This window comes from Homo sapiens, chromosome 2 (genome assembly GCF_000001405.40).
Source record: "Homo sapiens chromosome 2, GRCh38.p14 Primary Assembly".
NCBI lineage: Eukaryota > Metazoa > Chordata > Mammalia > Primates > Hominidae > Homo > Homo sapiens.
Window position 1 is genome coordinate 199,058,493 of NC_000002.12, and position 3,742 is coordinate 199,062,234.

Below are 3,742 nucleotides of genomic sequence, written 5' to 3' on the forward strand. Positions count from 1 at the left end.
CAGGTAAGCACTCATAGTACCTGCTTTTAACTTCATACCATTGAAAAAGGTACTGAAGAGATAGAAAAACAGTCCTGAACCTTCTTCTAATGGTGGCAGGAGAAAGAAGGGGGAAGTGCCACACACTTTTAAACCATCAGATCACATGAGAACTCACTCACTATCACAAGAACAGCATGGGGGAGATCCACCCCCATGATCCAATTACCTCCCACCGGGTCCCTCCTCCAACATTGGGAATTACAATTCAAAATGAGATTTGAGTGGGGACACAGAGCCAAACCATATCAGACAGAGAATTCAAAACAGCTGTGCTGAGGAAACTCAAAATAGTGCAGAGAAGAAATTCAGAAATATACCAGATAAATTAAATGAAGAGACAGAAATAATTAAAAAGAATCAAAAAGAAATTGAGGAACTGAAAAATGCAATTGTCATACTGAAGAAAATATCAGAGTCCTTTAATAGCAGAATTGAAGAAATAGCAGAATTGAAGAAAGAGTTAGTGAGCTTGAAGACAGGCTGTTTGACAATACAAAATCAGAGGAGACAAAAGAGAAAAGAATAAAAAACAGTGAAATGTACCTACAGGATGTAGACAAATAGACTCAAAATAGCAAATCTAAGAGATATTGGCCTTAAAGAGGCAGCAGAGAAAGACGCTGAGGTAGAAAGTTTATTCAAAGGGATAATAACAGAGCACTTCCCAAACCTAGAGAAAGATATCAATATCCAACTACAAGAAGGTTCTAGAACACCAAGTAGATTTAACCCAGAGAAGACTACCTCAAGGCATTTAGTAATTAAATTTCCAAACGTCACAGATAAAGAAAGGATCCTAAAAGTAGCAAGAGAAAAGAAACAAATAACGTATTAATGCAATGGAGCTCCAATATGTCTGGCAGCAGACTTTTCAGTGGAAACATTACAGGTCAAGAGAGAGTGACATGACATATTTAAAGTGCTAACAGAAACAAAATCCTTTACCCTAGAATAGTATATAGGGTGAAAGTATCTGTCAAATATGAAGGAGAAATAAAGACTCCCAGATAAACAAAAGCTAAGGTATTTCATCAATACCAGACCTGTCCTACAAGAAATGCTAAAGGGAGTGCTTCAGCCAGAAAGAAAATGACATTAATGAGGAATAAATGATCATCAAGGTACAAAACTCACTGGTAATTGTAAGCCCACAGAAAAACACAGACTATTATAACCCTGTAGCTGTGATATGCACACTATTCTCATCATAAGTAGAAAGACTGAACAATAAACCAATCAAAAATAACAACTACAACTTTTCAAGACATAGTCAGTACAATAAGATATAAAAAGAAAAACAAAAAAGTTAAAAAGTAGACGGATAAAGTTAAAATGTAGAGTTTTTATTAGTTTTCTTTTTGCTTGTTTGTTTGTTTATGCAAATAGTGTTAAGTTGTTATCAGGTTAAAACAGTGGGTTTAAAGATAGTGTTTGCAAGCCTCATGGTAACCTCAAACCAAAAAAAAACATACAATGAATACACAAAAAATAAAAAAGCAAGAAACTAAGTCATATTACTAAAGAAAAATCACCTTCATTAGAGGAAGACAAGAAGGAAAGAAAGAAGGAAAAAAAGACTACAAAACAACCAGAAAACAACAAAATGGCAGGAGTACGTCCTTACTTATCAATAATAACATTGAATGTAAATGGACTAATTCTTCAATCAAAAGACATAGATTGGCAGAAAGGATGAAAAAACAAGACCCATTAATCTGTTGCCTGCAAGAAACACACTTCACCTATAAAGACACACATAGACTGAAAATAAAGGGATAGAAAAAGATATTCCATACCAATAGAAACCAAAGAAGAGCAGTAGTTATTATACTTATATCAGACAAAATAGATTTCAATACTGAAACTATAAGAAGAGACAAAGAAGGTCATGGTATAATTGTTTTAGGTTTTTCCAAACATAAGATCATTTAGGAAAAACCTAAAGACTCCACAAGACAACTATTAGAACTGATAAACAAATTCAGGAAACTTTCAGGATACAAAATCAACATAAAAAAATCAGTAGCAGATATAATGATAAAGGGTCAATTCAGCAAGAGGATATAACAATTTTGAATATATATGAACCAAAAACTGGAGAACCCAGATATATAAGGGAAATATTAGATCTAAAGAAAGAGATAGGCCCCAATACACTAATAGCTAGAGACTTCAACATTCCACTTTCAGTATTGGACAGATCATCCAGATGGAAAATCAACAAAGAAACATCAGACTTAATCTACACTACAGACCAAAGCAATCTAATAGGTATTTATAGAACATTACATCCAACAGCTGCAGAATACACTTTCTTTTCCTCCGCACATGGATCACTCTCAAGGATAGACCACATGTTAGGTCACAAAACAAGTCTTAAAACATTCAATTAAACTGAAATAATATCAAGCATCTTCTCCGATCACAATAGAATAAAACTGGAAATCAGTAACATGAGAAGTTTTGGAAACTTCAAATACAATACATGGAATACACACAAATACATGGAAATTAAACAATATGCTCCTGAATGACCAGTGAGTCAATAAAGAAATTAAGAAGAAAATTGAAAATTTTCTTGAAACAAATGATAATGGAAACATAACATACCAAAACCTATGGGATACAGAAAAAGCGGTACTAAGAGTGAAGTTTACAGCTATAAGTGCCTACACCAAAAAAAAAAAAAGAAAGAAAAACTTCAAATGAACAATCTAATGATGCATCTTAAAGAACTAGAAAAGCAAGAGCAAACTAAACCCAAAATTAGTAGAAGAAAAGAAATAATAAAGAGCAGAGGAGAAATTTTAAAAATGAAATGAAAAAATACAAAAAATCAATGAAACAAAAAGTTGGTTTTCTAAAAAGTTAAACAAAATCGACAAATCTTTAGCCAGACTAAGCAAAATAGAGAGAAAATTCAAATAAATAAAATCAGAAATGAAAAAGGAGACATTACAACTGATACTGAAGAAATGTAACAGATAATCAGTGGCTACTATGTGCAACTATATGCCAATAAATTGGAAAATCTAGAAGAAATAGACAAATTCTGAGATACATATAACCGACCAAGATAGAACCAGGAAGAAATCCAAAACTTAAACAGACCAATAACAAGTTACAAGATCAAAGCTATAATAAAAAGTCTCCCAGTAAAGAAAAGTCCAGGACCTGATGGCTTCACTGCTGAATTCTGCCAAACATTTAAAGAACTCATACCAATCCTACTCAAACTATTCTGAAAAATAGAGGAGGAAATAATACTTCCAAGCTCATTCTATGAGGCCAGTATTACCCTGATACCAAAACCAGACAAAGACACATCAAAAAAAGAAAACTACAGGCCAGTATCTCTCATGGATATTGATGCAAAAATTCTCAACAAAAGACTATCAAACTGAATTCAATAATAATTAGAAAGATAATTCATCGTGAACAAGTAGAATTTATCCCTGGGATGCAAGATGTTACAACATATGCAAATCAATCAGTGTGATACATCATATAAACAGAATGAAGGACAAAAACCATATGATTATTTCAGTTGATGCTGAAAAAGCATTTGATAAAATTCAGCATCCCTTTATGATAAAAAACTTGGCCAGGCATGGTGGCTCACGCCTGTAATCCCAGCACTTTGGGAGGCCGAGGTGAGTGGATCACGAGTTCAAGAGATCGAGATCATCCTGGCTATCAT